General features: G+C 47.2%; 2 long non-coding RNA genes across 3 annotated transcripts; one reads left to right on the top strand and one right to left on the bottom strand.

Annotated features, from left to right (window-relative positions):
- Positions 1-53: 53 nt before the first annotated feature.
- Positions 54-16,575, top strand: LOC107985411 (uncharacterized). Of its 2 annotated transcripts, none has more exons than XR_001754485.1 (3): positions 54-85; positions 15,392-15,534; positions 16,296-16,575. It is a non-coding gene; the product is annotated as an uncharacterized LOC107985411 (long non-coding RNA). The 2 variants fall into 2 exon arrangements; XR_001754484.1 differs by lacking the exon at positions 54-85 and adding an exon at positions 9,124-9,296.
- On the bottom strand, positions 3,187-9,125 carry LOC643406 (uncharacterized). The gene is made up of 2 exons (NR_029405.1): positions 8,828-9,125; positions 3,187-6,687 (listed from the first exon to the last, which is right to left on the bottom strand). It is a non-coding gene; the product is annotated as an uncharacterized LOC643406 (long non-coding RNA).
- Positions 16,576-20,058: the final 3,483 nt, after the last annotated feature.

The following is a 20,058-nucleotide window of genomic DNA, read 5'->3' as shown; positions in this document are numbered from 1 at the left end:
CAGCCTTGACCTCCTGGGCTCAAGCAATCCTCCAGTCTCAGCCCCTCAGGTTGCTAGGACTACAGGCGCAAGCCACCACACCCAGGTAATTTTTTATTATTTTTTTGTAGAGATGGGGGTGTCACCATATTGCCCAGGCTGGTCTCAAACTCCTGAGCTCAGGCAATCTGTCCACCTTGGCCTTCCAAAGTGCTGGGATTACAGATGTGAGCCACCACACCTGGTCACCAACCTGTTTTCTAAAATGACTGTACCATTTCACACTCCCACTAGCAGTGTATGAGGGTTTCATTTCTCCTTCCTCACCAACACTCGTTCTTCTCGTCTGTAGATTTTATCATAACCATTCTAGGGGGTATAAAGTGGCATCTCATTCTGCTTTTGATTGCCTTTCCCTAGTGACTAATGGTGTTGAGCATCTAATTATGTGATTATTGGCAATTTGTGTATCATCTTGGAGAAATGTCTGTGCAAATCCTTTACTCATTTTTTCACTTGGGTTACTTGCCTTTTGTTGAGTTGTTAAGGGTTCCCTATGTATTCTGATACAAGTCCCTTAACAGATAGACAAGTTGCCAAGTTTTTCTCCCATCTTATGGGTTGTCTTTTTAGTTTCTTGGTGGTGGTCTTAGAAGTCATAAGTTTTTAATTTGATGAACTCCAATTCTGTTTTTGTCACTTGTACTTTTTTTTTTGAGACAGGGGTCTCACTCTGCCACCCAGGCTGGAGCATGATGGTACAATCATGGCTTACTTCGGCCTCAAATTAGGCCTCAAACTCCTTGGCTTAAGTGATCCTCCTGCCTCAGCCTCCTGAGTAGCTAGAGTAGACCTACAAGCACATGCCACCATACCCAGGTAATTTTTAAATTTTGTTTTGTACAGATGGGGTCTCTTTATGTTGCCTAGACTCGTTTCAAATTCCTGGGATCAAGAGATCCTCCCGCTTTGGCCTCCCAAAGTGCTGGGATTACAGGTATGAGCCACCATGCTCGGCCACTTTTACTTTTGGTGTCATATTTAAAAAATTATTTTTCTGATCCAAAGTTACAAACATTTACCCCTATGTTTTTTTCAAAAAGTTTTATAGTTTAGTTCTTATATTTAGGTCTTTGATCCATTTTGAAATTAATTTTTATGTATGCTGTGAGTCCCAGCTTCTCTGGATACTAAGGTGGGAGGATCAGTTGAGCCCAGGAAACCCAGGCTGGAGTGAGCCATGATGGGGCCACTCCACTCTAGCCTGGATGATAGAGTGAAACCTTGTCTTAAAAAAAAAAAATGGCCTCATGACAGATTAGAAAAACAAGTAAGTATGATAGTAGCTTTCCATATTTTTTCTTTGTAATATGTACACATTTATATTATATGCTCACCATTTTGATCTTTTCTCTGGGTTCATTAATTATATATGCATATTGCTGAAATTTAATTTTATAATTTAATCTTCAACAAACAGAACATTTGGTGGACCTGCAATGAATTTTGAGGAGTAGTAAGAATGGTCAGTGATGTATGCAATAACTGTTGAAATTGTGCTCTCCTATTCTGTGTAGAGGGTGCCAACTTCTTCAGATACAAGGAAGAAAGCTGTAGTTTGATAGAAATAAAAAGTTGTCATATTGTTTCATGTAAGTCCCAATAAGTGTTGAAGGATGCAGAGGGAATCTCAGGAGTCAATTGGTGGATGGCTGTCCCTTTCCTTTCTCTTTGTAGGTGAATGAATTTACTTTCTCAGGGGGCAGAGACTGTTTGAGACGTTTTAAAAAATCCCGCAACCAAATGAGGAATATATTCACCTTGTTGACTCACAGAGGATACGAATCACACACAAGCAGATGGGGATTCAGAGTTGCAATTTTTTTCATGTGCTGTCCAGGGAGTATGGAGGTTGAGTGAGTGGAAACAACTACATGAGACACAAAGAGAGCAGGGAAGGGGGCGGTCAAGTCAGAAGAAGCAGAGGCACCCACCCAGAACTCGGATTTTTTTTTTTTTTTTGACGGAGCCTTGCTCTGTCACCCAGGCTGGAGTGCAGTGGTATGATCTCGGCTCACTGCAACCTCCTCCCACCAGGTTCAAGTGATTCTCCTGCCTCAGCCTCCAAAGTAGCTGGGATTACAGGTATGCACCACCATGCCCGGCTAACTTTTTTTTTTTTTTTTAGTAGAGACAGGGTTTCACCATGTTAGTCAAGCTGGTCTCAAACTCCTGACCTCAGGTGATTCACCCACTTTGGCCTCCTAAAGTACTGGGATTACAGGTGTGAGCCACTGCACCCAGCCATGATGTTCTTTTTAGATGTGGCATTTTGAGTGTCATGATTTGGAGAGTTGTGACTGTGCTGAGCTGGGACAGAGGGAAGAAGGGAACAGCTGCAGGAGCGGGAGTGGCAGGGACGAGGGGCACTGGTCTCTCCATACATCTCAGGAGGGCTCTCCTCCCACACTCTTTTAAAACCTCATTTCTTTTTCAAAGCTCAGCTCACACATTGCTCCCCAGAAAGGCTGCACTGATGACAATGGTCTTTCTCCCCCTTCTCTTGATCCCCTCTGTGCTCACCCCTCTGCCCCATCTTTGCCACATCCTGTTCCCTTTCAGAGTCAATGGCTTCCTTCTGTCTTATCCAGTGAACTGTGAGCTCCCTAAGAAAAGGAACAGAGTCTTCCTCTTGTTTTTCACCCTCAATGTCCATAGATATGCCACACAGAAAGCCACACACAGAAGACAGGTGGATTTGCAAATGCTTGGATAACAAATGATTTCAGAGGTACAGTAAGGGAACAAAATGTCTTTGCAGAGGGGGCATCCGAGTGTACCTTTGAAGAGTAGTTCCTGGGAATTCCCCAGGTGGTCAGCAGTGATGGAGGCAAAACTCTCCAGGCAGCAGAAGACCATAGCAGCTGCCCACTTACAGTGTTAGTGCCACCTCCTCTTTGAGGGCTGATGGTGCCATTGGTGAAGGCTGTTTGTGCTTGACCTGGGAGTTTGTGCTTGGCCAGGGAGCTTCACCAGGGTAAGCTGTGTCAAGAAACAGGATCTTGCTTTTGAGGCCTCTCTCCAAAACTAGTACAACCTCTCTGCTAGAATTTGCAAAGAATAAGGACTTTGTGGTGCCCTCATAGACTGGATTTAAGGGACATGTGTTGCCTGAGCCTCATCTTTTTTTTTTTTTTTAATTATTTTACTTTAAGTTCTCGGGTACATGTGCACAACGTGCAGGTTTGTTACATATGTATACATGTGCCATGTTGGTGTGCTGCACCCATTAACTCGTCATTTACATTAGGTATATCTCCTAATGCTATCCCTCCCCCCTCCCCTCACCCCATGACAGGCCCCAGTGTGTGATGTTCCCCACCCTGTGTCCAAGTGTTCCCATTGTTCAATTCCCACCTATGAGTGAGAACATGTGGTGTTTGGTTTTCTGTCCTTGTGATAGTTTGCTCAGAATGATAGTTTCCAGCTTCATCCATGTCCCTACAAAGGACATGAACTCATTCTTTTTATGGCTGCATAGTATTCTATGGTGTACATGTGCCACATTTTCTTAATCCAGTCTATCATTGACGGACATTTGGGTTGGTTCCAAGTCTTTGCTATTGTGAGTAGTGCCAAAATAAACTTACGTGTGCATGTGTCTTTATAGCAGCATGATTTATAATCCTTTGGGTATATACCCAGTAATGGGATCGCTGGATCAAATGGTATTTCTAGTTCTAGATCCTTGAGGAATCGCCACACTGTCTTCCACAATGGTTGAACTAGTTTACAGTCCCACCAACAGTGTAAAAGTGTTCCTATTTCTCCATATCCTTTCCAGCACCTGTTGTTTCCTGACTTTTTAATGATTGCCATTCTAACTGGTGTGAGATAGTATCTCATGGTGGTTTTGATTTGCATTTCTCTGATGGCCAGTGATGATGAACATTCTTTCATGTGTCTTTTGGTTGCATAAATGTCTTCTTTCGAGAAGTGTCTGTTCATATCCTTTGCCCACTTATTGATGGAGTTGTTTGATTTTTTCTTGTAAATTTGTTTAAGTTCTTTGCAGATTCTGGATATTAGCCCTTTGTCAGATGGGTAGATTGCAAAAATTTTCTCCCATTCTGTAGGTTGCCTGTTCATTCTGATGGTAGTTTCTTTTGCTGTGCAGAAGCTCTTTAGTTTAATTAGATGCCATTTGTCAATTTTGGCTTTTGTTGCCATTGCTTTTGGTGTTTTAGTCATGAAGTCCTCGCCCATGCCTATGGCCTGAATGGTATTGCCTAGGTTTTCTTCTAGGGTTTTTATGGTTTTAGGTCTAACATTTAAGTCTTTAATCCATTACCTAAGCCTCATCTTCAAAATGACCCAGCAGTGACACTGTTCCTTTTCACTCTGTAGGTTGCATATGTCACCTGCACTGTGGTCCAGGAGTCTCAAGTCACCATCCCCACCATGGTCAGTCGCCTGGTGACCCCAGGCAGAAACTGATCATCAGGGGATCTTGGAGGTAGGAAAATTATTAAAGAAATCCAAGAGCAGGACTGGAACAAGAAAGTGTGGAGGTGGGAGAGAGGACAACTGGAGACCCAGGAGGGCCTCTGAGACCAGGGAGAGAATGCGGGGATGGCAGGGACAGAATCTTCATCCACTGAGATTGGTGGAAGCCCCGTCTGTGCCCTGTCCGTGTTGGGGTCCCCCTCTCAGATGGTTTCTTCTGCACCACCAGTCACCCCTACCCTGTCTGCTGACCCATGGCAGAAACAGCAGATGTGACTGGGGGGCACTGAGGCAGGTGGGGACCAAGGGACCAGGGACAGCAGGCGCCACCCTGAGCAGGATCAAGGAGAGCTGGAAAAGGAGGTGGGAGTCGTTGTTAGAGGAGGGTGTGAAGTAGTCGGGACGAAAGAGGCCAGGAGGAGCCCCAGGACCTGAGGCCCTCCCTCTGCACACAGCCTTTCTCTGTTGGGCTCAGGCCCTGGCAACAGCCCATTATTTACTTCCCCCAACCCTGGCTCATGCTCAGCCAATCCCTGCTCCACTGAAGTTCTCTTGCCCAGTGTTCCTGGCAGTAAATTGTAAGGAGGAGTAGTGCTCACCGAAGGGCATAGGGCCTGCCATGGGTCTTTGTACATAGAACTTAATAGCAGCCCTCAGTGTATTAGTGAAGTGGTTTCTCTTATCATTTTGAGGCAAGAAAAGAGGTATAAAGAAGCTGGTTGAACTTGCCCAAGATCACACAGCCAGCCTGTGGCCCAGCTGACTTTTGAGCTCAGGCACATGACTTGGCATTTTCTGACACATTCTGGTTCCTCTGACTTCTTCCCATCTGAGGCTCCCTGCCCTGCATTCAGATGCCCCCTCTGACTTGATGTTCAGGAGCACAGACTTCCAGCAGTGAGAGCCAAGGAAATGGAACCAGCCAGATGGGGAAGGACTGAGTGTAAATCCCAGGCTTGTCTCCAAGTCCAGGCCTTTTCTGGCAGATATCAGCAGCAAGACCAAGGTAGCCACAGAGGCGAGCTCTGCTGGGTGGGAACTCCCTGAATATTTAAGTGTGCATGTGATTCTTCCAGGGGTCTGCCAGATCCTGTGCTGTTCCAGGTAGGAGGCACTGGGCATCTGGGCACTCAAAACCTACCACTGTAAAGAAGACTGAACCAGTAAGGCCACACGCCGGGCACGGGGCCCCATTTTCAGAGGATGGAGCCAGGCCTGTCGGGGCTGCTCATGTGTCCACCTCCTTCAGGCTCCCTCATTATCCAAACGGCATTTCCACACATGGGAATTTGCAAAAGGAGAGAGTGAAAGGCCCAGGGCATTTCTGTGGTCTGTACTAACCCTCAAAGATACTCTTGGTCTGTGTGAGCCTCATTTTCAAATTAGAGGCTAAAGATGGACAAGGCCAGTAGCAGAGTGTGCAGGTCGCCTGGCCAGCCCTGCATTTACTCCTCTCTCCAGGCAGAGTGGCCAGTGCCACTTGCCCACGCAGCAGTCACGTGAGGTCCATCCTCTGGGAAGGCCCTCCCTGATGGCCCCTCTGCGATTCTGACCACAGGATGCCCGCAGCACAGCAGAGTCCCAGGTGGAGCAGAATCGGCCATGAGAGTAAGCTTGGTTCCGAGGACTTTCTGCTGTTATGTCTGTAATTACTAAACTTTTTTCATATAATTGCATTTTCCAAGCATATAAGGATGACAAAAAAATAATATAACAGGTAAACAGAAGTGCCATTTTGCTTCCACGGCTCTGGCCTCCTAAGGGGCAGGAAAGCAGGTGACCTTATTCCTGGTATTAAAATGGCATGGCTGGAGTTCAGGTGGGCTGATGGGAAGCTGTGCATCCTACAGCACCCTGGAATGGCTGAAATTAAGTATTTTATATGGCAAAATTGACTCATGGAGCAGAAATAGCCTGCTCATATGGACATGGAAGCAAGATGTCCTTCAGGCCCCTAAACCTCTTCTGAGCCTCTTCGCCTGCAGATAGCTGGGCAGGCGTGTCTGACCATCCCATGTGGCCAGGGTCCATCTTCAGCAGTTGTGGATTGAGGCCTTTGTCCTTGCCTGTGCTGATTTGAGTGGTACTGGAGAAAGGCGGTGGTGTCTTGGTCTTCGTCTCCAGTGTTAGCCACTGCAATGGCAGGGGGAGGAGGTGGTGGGCTGAGAGCATGGACAGTGCAAAGGCAGTCATGGCTGATTGCTAGAGAGAAAGATGAAGGAGACATTAACTCTTCTTCTGAAGCACAAATCAGAACAGATATTTTTCACGTGTTGAGCATGTATGTGCCCCACCTGGGTACTGGGCAGCATTTCTGATTGAACACTGCCACAGTGCTTGATGCAGGTTTACGTGAGCCCCAATTTCACGAGGGGGTCCCCTCTCCTCCCTCCCTCGGATGTCTCATGTCTCCATCTGCACTCTTAGTGGCCTGGTCTTTCTCTGAGACAATTCCAGGCTGGTTCCCCTGCTTTGCTACCCCCCACAACCTCTCCCACACCATTGCCCAGCTCCCAAGAGCTCACTGTGGCTGAGGAAAGGGGGTGCCTTGACACGGAGTTCCCTTCCCATGAGGGTCCCCAGACACTTCTCCTGGAAGAGCTCCACCAGGACCCCTGCCACATGCGCCTGTTGGTGCAGGGAGGAGAGGGGAGCAGGTTGTGTCTGATGTGGGTGTGTCTGTGTGCAATGGCTGCTTGTATCCTTGTGTGTTGTGTACCTGCTCAGCAAACTGAGTCCTGTGGCCAAGAATGATCCTGGGCAAAACTGAACACATTTAACCCAAGTTTGATTTCAACTCAACACTTTCCCATTGTGCCTCCTTCTCATCCCAAATGTGCCAAATACTTCTAATCTTAGTATTCGTTCTTTGCTTTGTCTGTCAGGTCCTGTTCTCTACGAGTGAATATCCTAAGGACCATAATAAAGCCAGTTCCCTTTTTGGGGACTGACATTTGTTGAGAACTCCCCCTATGAATGCTGTCTTGCTGCAAAACTTCACCTCTGGATAAAGTGGCTGTGCTCCTTCTGGATGTCTGCATCAGGGCTGCTGAGGCACAGCTGAGAATGCACCACACAGCTGACTATGCTGCTGTGCATATCTCATTACTAAATGCCCGTCCCTTTCAAGGATGCCAGGCGTTAGGGCTGCATTGCAACTTTGATGGACACTGGGGATTAATGTCTGTGTGTCCTTGTTCCATTAAAAAGTTTGAAGTTTGCTGGGTGCGGTGGCTCACACCTGTAATCCCAGCACTTCGGGAGGCCAAGGCGGGCAGGTTACGAGGTCAGGAGATCGAGACCATCTTGACCAACACGGTGAAACCCTGTTTCTACTAAAATACAAAGAAGTAGCCAGGCGTGGTGGTGGGTGGCTGTAGTCCCAGCTACTCGGGAGGCTGAGGCAGAAGAATGGCTTGAACCTGGGAGGAGGAGGTTGCAGTTAGCCGAGATGGAGCCACTGCACTCCAGCCTGGCAACACAGCAAGACTCTGTCTCAAAAAATAAAAAAAGTTTGAAGTTTTATTTTATGAGTTACTGGTATAATGATAAATATATTAATATCATATAGTTCAATTTTTTTTCTTCTGACTGAAATTGACACTCTTTGGTGGGCCTGTAAGTTTCCTGGCCCTGGTCACTGTGCCCACCCTGCCCATGGCTAAGGGGTCCTAGCAGCAAGCATGTATGTGGCTGGCCCCTACACCCTCCCACTCTGCCAGAGATTTTTTCCAAAAGGAATCTCCCTGCACGGAGGGCGGAGCTCGAGATCTCCATGTCGCGGGGTGGCTCCGAGGTCACCACTGCCCAGCATGTCTCTGGCTGCTGACAGGACTCTGTGCTTTCTTAACTCCTTGATGGAGTTCCTGGAGTTGGAGGGAAGCGCTTCCCACCAGAAACCCACTTGTGTCGGTTTTTCTTCCATTTGAAACAAATGATCAAAGTGATAGCGTTTTCTATGTTACGTGTCTGTCTCTGGTCACTTAAAAACAAAACAGAGCAGGGTGTCCCCTGACAGCCCAGGGGAAGAACAGGAAGGCAGCCCTGGGGTTACCTGTCAAGGTTCAGATCATGACCTCCAGCATCGGCCACGGCTGGGTGACATCGTCACTCCCCAGGGGACAGGCGATCCCCTCCTCACCCCACAGCTCAGACCCCAGGATCGGCCCCAATCCCTGTGCCCTGAGCTCTTTCTACTTCCCCTTTCCATCCCAGGCTTGTCCCGAGCCAGCTCTGAAGGAGGCCGGCCCTGGGGGACAGGGAGGAGTCCAGCCTGGGACCCGGCCTGAGCTGGGAGGAGGCGCTCGTCCTGCCTCGGCCCCTGTGATGAATCCCCTCTTACCCGGCAGGTGGTGACTCCCCTATCTGCGGCCGACCCCGAGTCCCCACCGCTCTGTCCTTCTCCAGGGCCTGGCGCAGAAGCACCCTTTGTCCCTGGGTGGCCTGATCCTGCTGACCACGGGTCACCTCCCTGACCACGAATACTCTGCCAACTGTCCCCGAGTGACCAAGGCAGCTCAGTCTAGAGTCTAGAGGCCTGAGTACCCAGGATGACCTAATAGTCCCGACTATTAGGACCCCGGGACTGGGGCTTTGTCAGTTTAATGGATTCCACCTCTAGGAATCAACTGCCGCGAGATTCTAATTGGCTGAGCTGCGTGTCCACGTGACCGATTGAACCGCCCACCTGGGTCTTCCAGCTGCCTATCAAACGCACAGCCCGGTAGGGCCCGGGGGAGGAACAGCCAAGAGGGAGGCCGGGCCAGGGGCTGGTGGCTTCCTCCGCGAGCTCTGCCAGTTTCTGGCCTCAGGTACCCATCGAGTTCTTGCAGTGCCCTGCAGTCTTCAGAGTCAGATCTGTCTCTGGAAGTTTCTTGATGTGAGACCCACAGATGGGCTCCATAGAGACCACTGAGTTCCTGAAAGCGTATTCATCTTTCTGTAAGGAGAGGTCATAGTACTTACCTAGCTCTCAAAAATGACTATCTTAGAATTCAAAGATATTAGGAGTCACTTCTCCACGGAGACCCTCCAGAAGGTCAGGAAGGTCCCAGAATAAAACTCACTGAATCCCATTTCACTCTTGCTCCTAGAAGTCCAAGGTATCATGGAGGCACCTTGGCGGGATGCCAAGGACTGAGCTGGGGGTGAGGTTGTCAGGGAGGAGGGTCGAGGCCCTGGGTGCCCTCTGAGTTCCAACTGGGGCTCTGAGTCCTTCACTCAGTTGTCCCTTGAAGAGCAGTTGCCATATGCAAGGCGCACTGGTGTAAGGTGGAAGTCTCCCTTTACTTCTGGTCTAGGACACCCAGAACAGTGGAGAATTCCTGCTTCAGCTCAGCACCAAAGGCCCACATTTTTACCTGAGATTCCTGGCACCTGCCACTTGGAGCTGGAAGGGGCTGTGCACCTGAGTGTATACAGGGACATTGGAGTCTGTGGACATTCACACCCGGACACGGTTTATGCCACAATGTGTTCATGTCCCTAGTGACTGTGTGTTGATCATTGAGAACACGTGGTGTCTGCACACGAAGGTGGAGCCACTGGCTGCCTGCGACCCTCCTTACCGGAAAGCTTCACCTGGCTTTGTGCTGCATGCTGACTGTGATCATTAATGTGCCAGGAAGGGCAGATGCAGGATGATCCGTAACAACTAGGTCCTCTGAAAACACTCAGCCCTGGAGAATCTCACCAGGTAGCCAGGCAGAAGCCCCATGTGAGAACCCCTCCCATGCGGGCCACTGGTGCTGATGGCCATGGTACTGATGACCCACTGGTGCTGATGGCCATGGTGCTGATGGCCACTGGTGCTGATGATCACTGGTGCTGATGGCCACTGGTGCTGATGATCACTGGTGCTGATGGCCACTGGTGCTGATGGTCACTGGTGCTGACAGTCACTGGTGCTGACGACCACTGGTGTTGATAGCCACTGTTGCTGTTCTTACCATGTGCTGTCATCCTGGCTGCACATGAGACTCATTGGTAGTTTCATCAAAGTTACTGCCTCTTGGACCTCACTTCCCCAGCTCTTGCTACTGTTTTGTGGGGCTGAGTGAATATCAGCAGTTTTAAAGCCCTCAGATTATTGTGATGAGCAGCTAGCTGTCTGCCCCAATCCTTCATTCTTCTAGCAGCCACCTCCTAACCACTTGCCACCTCTCTCACCCAAGCACCTATAGCCACTATGCTGACCAGCTGTCCTGTTGCCCAGGGATGAGGGAGGTCCCTTGGAAACACCAGCTCAGTTCTGGGAAATCGGGACCCACACTCTAACCTGGCCTTCCAGTTTCCTACCAAGGATGGAGCTTTCAATCTAGCTCACAAGTTCTTTGCCCTCCCCATAGTGAGGGCAGAAAGCATGACTGGAAATTGTGATGTCCAACTCCATAGAGGCTCCTTTGCTACATGACATTTATTCTTGATGCCAGGTTCTTTTGGCTAAGCTGTGGGGCACGGGTAGGCTGCAGCCCATGGCAGCTGTGCTGCCTAAATAGCTCTCCAGTAGTTGAAGTGCAATAAATTTATCCAAGTCCTTCTCATGTTACCTTCAGCATTTAGTGTTATGGAGGAGGTTTTCTTCCCCGGTGTAGACATGTGCTTCAGAAGACGCCCAGGGGTTGATTCCTGGAGTGATTTAGCAGAATGGCTGCACTTCCTTGGGGTTTGGAGCTCCTGAGACCCTGAGCACACAGGGATGAGTCATGCCCTATGCTGCCATCTACAAAACTGTGATTGCAATAGTGATTTATTTTTATTTTTATTTTTTTTGAGACAGGGTCTCACTCTGTTAACCACGCTGGAGTGTAGTGATGCGATTTTGGCTCAGTGCAGCCTCGACTTCCTTGGCTCAAGCTATCCTCCCACCTCAGCCTCCTGAGTAGCTGGGACCACAGAGGTGCACCACCATGCTTGAGTGATTTTTATATATATAGATATTTTTGTAGAGACGCCATGAAGGGGCCATAACCCAGGTGATTCTGTGCAATACTGCATATTCTGAAACAGGCTGCATTCCCCTAAAGGAACTAGGTCCAGATTGTGGAAGGGTCTTGAAGTCTCAAACAGTCTGAGCAGAGCAGTTCCCAGAACCCAGAGCTCCTGATGGTGGGCTCCTGTGCCAGCCACATTAACTCTCCATTCCCTTCTTCCCTCAGTCCCTAACAACCAGCATTCTACTTTTTGTCTTTATTTTGACTAAGTACGTAGATTCCATATAAGTGGAATCATATGGTATTTTTCTTTTTGTGACTGGCTTATTTCACTTAGCATAATATCTTCAAGTTTTAGCATAGCATATTACAGAATTTCTAAGGTGAGTAATATCCCATTGTATAGATACACCACATTTTGCTTATCCATTCATCCACTGATGGATAATTCGATTTTTCCATGTTTTAGCTATTGCTATGAACAAAAGTGTACAAATATCTCTTTGAAACCCTGCTTTCAATTCTTTTGAGTATATACCCAGAAGTATAATTACTAGCTTATATGGTAATTCTATTTTTAATGTTTTAAGGAACCACTATACTGCTTTCCTCCACAGCTATGCCATTTTACATTCCCACAAACAGTGCACAAAGGTTCCAATTTCTCCATATCCTCACAAGATGTGTTATTTTCTGTGTGTGTGTGTGTGTGCGTGCGCACGCTTTTTTTTTTTAAAGTAGCCATCCTAATGAGTGTGAAGTGGTATCTTGCTATAGTTTTGATTTGCATTTCCCTAATGATTAGTGATGCAGAGCATCTTTTCAAATGCTTATTGGCCATTTGTATACCTTCTTTGGAGAAAGGTCTACAAAAGTCCTTCGCTCATTTTCGAATCAGGTTTTTTGTTGTTGTTGAGTTTGCGATGCTGGCTTTTTTGTATATTTCTTGATTTGGTGCTGGTTACACAAGTGAGTTGAGGTTGTGAAAATTTTTCAAGGGCCAGGCGCAGTGGCTCATGCCTGTAATTGCAGCACTTTGGGAGGCCAAGGTGGGTGGATTACCTGAAGTCAGGAGTTTGAGACCAGCCTGGCCAATATGGTAAAGCCACATCTCTACTAAAAATACAAAAAAATTAGCCAGGTGTGGTGGCAGGCACCTGTAATCCCAGTTACTCAGGAGGCTGAGGCAAGAGGATCGCTTGAACCCAGGAGGCAGAGGTTGCAATGAGCCAAGAACGCACCAGTGCACTCCAGCCTGGGCAACAAGAGCAAAACTCTGTCTCAAAAAAAAAAAAAAAAAAAAAAAAAAGGAAAAGAAAAGAAAATTTATCAAGATGTACCCTTATGACATTTGCACGTTTTTCTGTGTGTGTGTGTATACTATTACATGTAATACACATATACGATACTTCAATAAAAGTTAAATTAATACATTAAAAAATAAGAAATGGGAGGGAGGGAGGGAGAGAGAAATTGAGGGAAAGAGGGAGGAAACACCAGGCAGAAGCTGTATCCTCTTGAGCTAACCTTAGAAGTCACCTAGAATCACTCCCACCACACTTCACTGCTTGGAGAAGCCACAAGCTTCCATCCAGATTGATGGGGAGGGAAACTAGACCCCACCTTTCAGGAAGAGGAAGGTTAATCACATTGCAAGAAGAGCAGGTGGCATGGAATAAATGTATAGATGTGTCCATCTTGGGAAAATACGATCTGTCCCGGCAGTGTAGGGGAGGTGGAAAGTGGTGGTGCAGTGGCTAAAAGTGCAGGCTCTCTCAGGCCCCAGCCCGAGACAGGCCAATTCAGTCTGTCTGCAGGGAAGCCTTGGGAATCTGTACTTTCACAGGATGGGGCTGACATGCAAATGCAATGGGTGACCCTTTAGAATTACTGCCACATGAATTGAGGGTTTGAATTCTAGAGTTAGAAGAATTCTTTTGGACAAGTCCATTAACTTTTATTACTCTCAGCTTCCTCAGCCACAAAAGTGGCATCACGGTTCCTACACCATACGTGTATCATAAGGATTGAAATAGCATTCTTAACGGGCTTAGTGGAGTGCCTTGCATGTAGAAAGTGCCCCATAGATGGTATTATTATTGTTATCACTGTTTTCAAATTATGGGAATAGACATACCTGAAAAATTAGAGCACTGACAGCCCATTCTGGAGTTCTCAGGACACCAAGTCTCCATCAGACTCTGCCTTTGCATCTGGAGGCCAGCTGGAAGGCCAGACTGCTTTGGTGACAGGGAGAGGATGGCATGGCTGTCAGTGGATCTTGAGACTGAGAAGGTGCAGGGCTTGCTTATGGACCCCACAGTTGGAATGTGGAAGTGTCAGGTAAAGCCCAGGGATCCTGGGACCCCGACTTGTGTTCCACTGCTGGTCTCCTTCCCTCAAGTGCCCAGCTGGCCTCAAGTTTCCTCTCGTTGAGTGAGGCTTGTTGCCAGCTTCCTCACTCACCCTGGGGAAGCAGAAAGTCTCAAAATGCAGGCAGACACTGTGGGCAGGAAGGGCATCTCCTGTCACAGTGGGTGGTGCCTACATAGGCATAGGGGACTCCTGCGGGAACCACAGTATCGGGAGAGCTGGTGCCTTGTCACTGAAACCAGTGGAAAGAAACATTTACTTATAGAAGCTATGCAAACATACCTTTCATCACACCACTCTCCAGCTCCCTAACCCTCAATGGCTCCCCTGTGCCTTAAGAAAATCTAACTGTGGACCTTATAAGACAAAAATATACCTAAGCCCTCCAACCCAGGGAAAATAAACCAAGTGTTCTCCTTTAAGCACATCCCAAGCCCTCCTGTCTTTGTTCCCAGCTTCTCCCTACTGTCCTTCTTGCTCAGATCTTATTGTCATTGTCATTGCAATGACAGTAAGTTCCTTTCTCTCTTCTTTCCAGCCTCTACCGGCCACTGTGGCTCCAGAGTGAACTCCTCACATCTTCCTCTGAATTCTTCTAGAGTAACTCTGTAGCAGTCATCGACAGTAGGTCCCATTTCATCAGTAGGAAAAGCCTGTTTTTGTCTCCCTTTGAAGACTTTTCTGTCAGTCTGCCTTAGATTTTTCTAATTCCCTGCAGCTCCTGTTCAAAAACTGTTTCCCCCAATTGACTCATACAGTGCCCAAATTGTACACAAGCCAATGCAGATTTCAGAAATCCTATTGTCACAGGATCCTCTGGGTGTCGCTTCACCAGCTAGAAACCTCATGGCCGGCAGCGCCTCTACTTGAATATTGCTCACGCCCACTGGGTTCATTCCACCCATTCAGCCTGGCAGGCTGTGCCCAGCTTGCACTACCAGCCCAGATCCCATGCCTGCCGAGGGCAAGCCAGATGCAGAAAGGCGAAGGGTGTGTGAGTGAGCAAGTGCGGAGTGTGGCCCCTGCACACAGCCAGGCACGCCAACTGCCGCAGCAGGGCGGACGGCTCCAGGCACCGGCATAGGCACTGGCTCCATGCAAGGCTGCGGCTGGAGCAGGCATACTACAAGCGGCTTCTCCTGCAGTTGCCAGCATCTGGATGAAGGGAATGTGGTGGCTCCTGAAAACCTGGAGATGCCAGCAACTGCAGATCCTCTACGGGTTGGGGGTGCATGTTACAGCTCTCTCATTCCCACCACCCGCAGCGCGACAGCATGGCAAACAGCGGTGGGAGGCAATGTGTTTCAGCCCATTTGTGTTACGGCTTGTTCAATCCCATCACCCCAACTCCAGCCCACAGCTCCTGGGCTGGCCTGCCCCGCCACTGCTTCCTGTCACATCTGGCAGCCGCCCAGCACTGGTGGAGGGCGGGAGGGCTATAGTGTTACAGCTCTGGCTTGGGAATTCTGAGGTCTGCGTCCCCAGAAGGGTCACCACTCTTCACTCCCACAGTTTGGTGAACAGGGAAGCATATCACGACCTGCAGCTCAGTGAGCTGGCCAGGAAAGTGTTACAGCCCTTTTTGTGCACTCTGTTCGCAGGTCCTGAGTTGTTATCGCAAGTCCAGGAAGAATGAGGTTACTCAGGCAACTGGAGGGTGAGGATGGAGAAGAGCTTTATTGAGCAACAGAACAGCTCTCAGCAGAGAGGAGACCCAAAGTGGGTAGCTCCTACCTGCAGGAAGGTAATCCCAATGTGTGTCTGAGTCCTGCTGAGTCTAGGGGTTATTATAGGTGCAGAATGGAGGAAGTGCATGCTGATTGGTCCATGAGTGGGAGGAAGTGCATGCTGATTGGTTCAAGGGTAGGTCCAAAAAACCAGTCACCATCAACTGGCTGAAAGGCATCAAGGAAATTCTTACTCCCAGTCAGGGACTCCACCTGGAACTGGCAGCTTGGCCTCCAGGCTTCAGGCCATCCCTGGTTTGAAGGTTGGGCCTCACCAGGGACCCACCCCTTCCCACCTAGGTACCTGTCTGCCTCCTGCCACCATCACTATTGTTAAATCTCAGGGTGGAAGGCATGAGGGGTGGGCAATGGGAAGTGTAAATTTGTGAATTATCACTTTGGCTAAGTGAATGACTTAGTTTACAGTAATCTGTCATCCTATTTTATGATATCAAGTGTTTTGAACCTTTGATATTAGACAAACTTTTCAAAATCAAAGCTTCAAGTTCTAAATTTAGTCTTTTTGACCTTAAACTAACCTTTTAGATATTAATGTCCCTGAAAGTCCAAGAGAGACGTATTGGGTTTATTTGGTATGTTAAAATCCTAGAGAAAGCCTTGTCAAATATGAAACAGTGTTTGCCTTTCCTTGGATTATATTTTATGGGTGTTATTAATATGTCTTCCAAAATTGTATGAGATACATATAATTCTGATGTCTTAATGTATGTTATTAGTAATAATTATAATTATTATGTTAAATTTTTTTCTGTTACAGAAGTAATCAAATTTTCTTGCCAATTGTGTCTTTAACCATGGCTGATCTAAGACTGTTGCCATCCACAGACAATTATTGTTTTACTTTTTGATTCTTCTCAAAAAGAGGTTCATAATCAGCTGTAGACCAAAATTTGCTTCTATATGGAAATTCATGGAAAAGACTCTGACAAGTATTCTTAAATACAGGTTTCTGAAGGGGGCCAAGATGGCCCAATAGGAACAGCTCCAGTCTGCAGCTCCCAGAAAGACCAACGCAGAAGGCAGGTGATTTCTGCATTTCCAACTGAGGTACCCAGTTCATCTCACTGGGACTGGTTAGGCAGTGGGTCCAACCCACAGAAGGCGAGCAGAAGCAGGGTGGGGTGTCACTTTGCCCAGGAAGTGCAAGGAGCTGGGGGACCTCCCTCCTCAAGCCAAGGGAAGCCATGAGGGACTGTGCTACCTGGGACAGGTTACTACACTTTTCCCATGGTTTGTATAATCTGCAGATCAGGAGATTCCTTCGTGTGCCTACACCAACAGGGCCTGGGATTTCAAGCAGAAAACACAAGTGGCTGTTTGGGCAGACGCCAAGCTAGCTGCAGGAGTTTGTTTTTCCTATCCCAGTGGCATCTGGAACCCCAGCAAGACAGAACTGTCCACTGCTCTGGAAAGGGGGCTGAAGCCAGGGAGCCATGTGGTCTCGCTCAGTGGGTCCCACTCCCACGGAGCCCAGCAGGCTAAGAACCACTGGCTTGAAATTCTCGCTCCCAGCACAGCAGTCTGAGGTCGACCTGGGACAACTGAGCTTGCTGTGGGGAGGGGCATCTGCCATCACTGAGGCTTTAGTAGGCGGTTTTCCCCTGACAGTGCTAAGGAGGCTGGGAAGTCTGGGCTGGTTGCAGCAAAGCAGCTGTGGCCAGACTGCTTCTCTAGATTCCTCCTCACTAGGTAGGGCATCTCAGGGGAAAGGTAACAGCCCCAGTCAGGGGCTTACAGACAAAACCTCCATCTCCCTAGGACAGAGCACCTGAGGGAACGGGTGGCTGTGGGTGCAGCTTCAGCAGATTTAATCGTTCCTGCCTGCCAGCTCTGAGGAGAGCAGCTGATCCTGATGAGAGGGATTCTCCCAGCATAGTGCACCAGCTCTGCTAGGGGACAGACTGCCTCCTCAAGTGGGTCCCTGATCCCCGTGCCTACTGACTGAGAGAGACCTCCCAACAGGGGTTGACAGACACCTCATACAGAAGAGCTACAGCCGGCATCAGGCTGTGGGACAAAGCTTCCAGAGGAAGGAGCAGGCAGCTATCTTTGCTGTTCTGCAGCCTCCACTGGTGATACCCAGGCAAACAGGGTCTGGAGTGGACCTCTAGCAAACTGCAGCAGACCTGCAGAAGAGGGGCCTGACTGTTAGAAGAAAAACTAACAAACAGAAAGCAACAACATCAACATCAACATAAAGGACCCCCACACAAAAACCCCATCAAAAGGTCATCAGTCTCAAAGATCAAAGGTAGATAAATCTAGAAAGATGAGGAAAAACCAGTGCAAAAATGCTGAAAATTCCAAAAATCAGAATGCCTCTTGTCCTTCAAATGATTGCAACTCCTGTCCAGCAAGGGCACAAAACTGGACAGAGAATGAGATTGATGAATTGACAGAAGCAGGCTTCAGAAGGTGGGTAATAACAAACTCCTCAGAGCTAAAGGATCATGTCCTAACCAATGCAAGGAAGCTAAGAACCTTGGTAAAAGGAACTGCTAAGTAGAATAACCACTTTAGAGAGGAACATTAATGACCTGATGGAGCTGAAAAACATGGCATGAGAACTTTGTGAAGCATACACAAGTATCAATAGCCGAATCGATCAAGCAGAAGAAAGGATATCAGAGACTGAAGATCAACTTACTGAAATAAGGCATGAAGACATGATTAGAGAAAAAGGAACGAAAAGGAATAAACAAAGCCTCCAAGAAATATAGTACTATGTGAAAAGATCAAACCTATGATTGATTGGAGTTCCTGAAAGTGACAGGGAGAATGGAAGACACACTTCAGGATATTATCCAGGAGAACTTTCCCAACCTAGCAAGACAGGCCAACATTCAAATTCAGGAAATACAAAGAATATCACTAGGACGGTCCTTGAGAAGAGCAACCCCAAGACACATAATCGTCAGATTCTCCAAGGTTGAAATGAAGGAAAAAATGTTAAGGGCAGCCAGAGAGAAAGGTCAGGTTACCTACAAAGGGAAGCCTATCAGACTAACAGTGGATCTCTCGGCAGAAACCCTACAAGCCAGAAGAAAGTGGGGGGCAATATTCAACATTCTTAAAGAAAAGAATTTTCAACCCAGAATTTCATATCCAGCCAAACTAAGCTTTATAAGCAAAGGAGAACTAAAACCCTTTCCAGACAAACAAATGCTGAGGGATTTTGTCACCACCAGGCCTGCCTTACAAGAGCTCCTGAAGGAAGCACTAAATATGGAAAGAAAAAACTGGTGCCAGCCACTGCAGAAACACACCAAAATATAAAGACCAATGACACTATGAAGAAACTGCATCAATGAATGTGCAAAATAATCAGCTAGCGTCATGATGACAGGATCAAATTCACACATAACAATATTAACCTTAAATGTAAATGGGCTAAATGTCCCAATTAAAAGGCGCAGACTGGAAAATTGGATAAAGAGTCAAGACCCATTGGTGTGCTGTATTTAGGAGACCCAACTCACATGCAAAGACACACATAGGCTCAAAATAAACGGATGGAGAATATTTACCAAGCAAATGAAAATTTAAAAAAAGCAGGAGTTGCAATCCTAGTCTCTGATAAAATGGACTTTAAACCAACAACGATCAAAAAAGATAAAGAAGGGCATTACATAATGGTAAAGGGATCAATGCAACAAGAGCTAACTATCCTAAATATATATGCAACCAGATTCATAAAACAAGTTTTCAGAGACCTACAAAGAGACTTAGACTTCCGCACAATAATAGTGGAAGACTTTAACATCCCACTGCCAATATGTTAGACAGATCAACAAGACAGAAAACTGACAAGGATATTCAGGACTTGAACTCAGCTGTGGACCAAGTGGACCTAATAGACATCTACAGAACTCTCCACCCCAAATCAACAGAATATACATTCTTCTCAGTGCCACATAGCATTTATTCTAAAATGACCACATAATTGGAAGGAAAACACTCCTCAGCAAATGCAAAAGAACAGAAATCATAACAGTCTCTCTGACCACAGTGCATCAAATTAGAACTCAGGATTAAGAAACACATTCAAAACCACACTACTACATGGAAATTGAACAACTGCTCCTGAATGACTACTGGATAAATAATGAAATGAAGGCAGAAATAAAGAAGTTCTTTGAAACCAATGAGAACAAAGAGACAACATACCAGAATCTCTAGGACACAGCTAAAGCAGTGTTAAGAGGGAAATTTATAGCACTAAATGCCCACATCAGAAAGCTGGAAAGATCTAGAATCGATACCCTAACATCACAATTAAAAGAACTAGAGAAGCAAGAGCAAACAAATTCAAAAGCTAGCAGAAGACTAGAAAAACTAAGATCAGAGCAGAACTGAAGGAGATGGAGACACAAAAAACCCTTCAAAAAATCAATCAATCCAGGAGCTGGTTTTATGAGAAGATTAACAAAATAGATGAACCGCTAGCTAGACTAGTAAAGAAGAAAAGAGAGAAAATCAAATAGACACAATAAAAAATGATAAAGGGGATATCACCACTG

Source organism: Homo sapiens, chromosome 20, assembly GCF_000001405.40.
Source record: "Homo sapiens chromosome 20, GRCh38.p14 Primary Assembly".
NCBI lineage: Eukaryota > Metazoa > Chordata > Mammalia > Primates > Hominidae > Homo > Homo sapiens.
Note: the sequence above shows the minus strand (reverse complement) of the source record. Positions and strands in the feature narration are given on the sequence as shown.